Below are 860 nucleotides of genomic sequence, written 5' to 3'. Positions count from 1 at the left end.
CTGGTCATTTAAAGGTAAATGCATACCTTATAAGACAAAGAAAAAAATGACAATTAGTTTCTATTAATTTTCAAAATAGTTTAAGAACCACTTTAGCAAACTCCAAATATAATGAAGCTTTAAGAGCACAGTTAGCCTTTTATTTCCTAAGGTTGATATCTTTTCAGAAATTACTCAATAGTTATTTGTTATGTGTACTCATTAGTCCTATTAAGCTGTTCTAATTTGAATTTGATAATGGTTGTTTGAATAAACCTCAACAGAAAAGATGTAGATATTTTAAAAAGTAAAACAAATTGTCTTTTTCTTTTCCCTTGTTCTTTATTTCCCTCATTCTTACATTCATACTTTTTATAAAAAGTTCTACAATTTACCTACCAGGTCAAATACTTAATTTCTTCATACCAATTGAAGAAAAATTTATAAATTTCAGGTCATTCATTGTATATGAAGGCAATTATATATTATGGTTGCTTTTCCCCACTTGGTGTCCTGGGAATATAGTTCAATAGAGTTTTGGAAAATTCTTGTGACTCTTCCTGGCAATCATTTCTCATGACGTTTTGTATTTGCTGACTTAATTTTCTCATTGTTTTCACTGAGTTTATGGCTTTGGCTGCTGTGATGAGAGGAAAAGAAGTAGGCAAAAACTCAAAAACAGATTTTATAAAGGTTAAAGGAGTCCAGCATTCATCTCAACTTCCAGTAATGTGCTGTACTCTTATCAGGCATACTAATTCAGAAATATTCACCCCAGTGCCAGAAATTTAAAATGAATATATTATCATGAATATTCATGATTGTATTGAGAATGGAATATTGTGCAATGTAAAACTTTTGGAAAATTGTACTTACATGGC

At 29.9% G+C, this 860-nt stretch overlaps 1 annotated feature.

Moving 5' to 3' along the window:
- Positions 426–595: an enhancer, noted in NCBI's record as "experimental_88495 CRE fragment used in MPRA reporter constructs". NCBI's record gives its function as "activates a minimal promoter by MPRAs in K562 erythroleukemia cells, with activity observed for the introgressed 6:120818102 variant allele {active_cell/tissue: K562}" and the evidence as "EXISTENCE:reporter gene assay evidence [ECO:0000049][PMID:34662402]".

Source organism: Homo sapiens, chromosome 6 (assembly GCF_000001405.40).
Source record: "Homo sapiens chromosome 6, GRCh38.p14 Primary Assembly".
NCBI lineage: Eukaryota > Metazoa > Chordata > Mammalia > Primates > Hominidae > Homo > Homo sapiens.
Note: the sequence above shows the minus strand (reverse complement) of the source record. Positions and strands in the feature narration are given on the sequence as shown.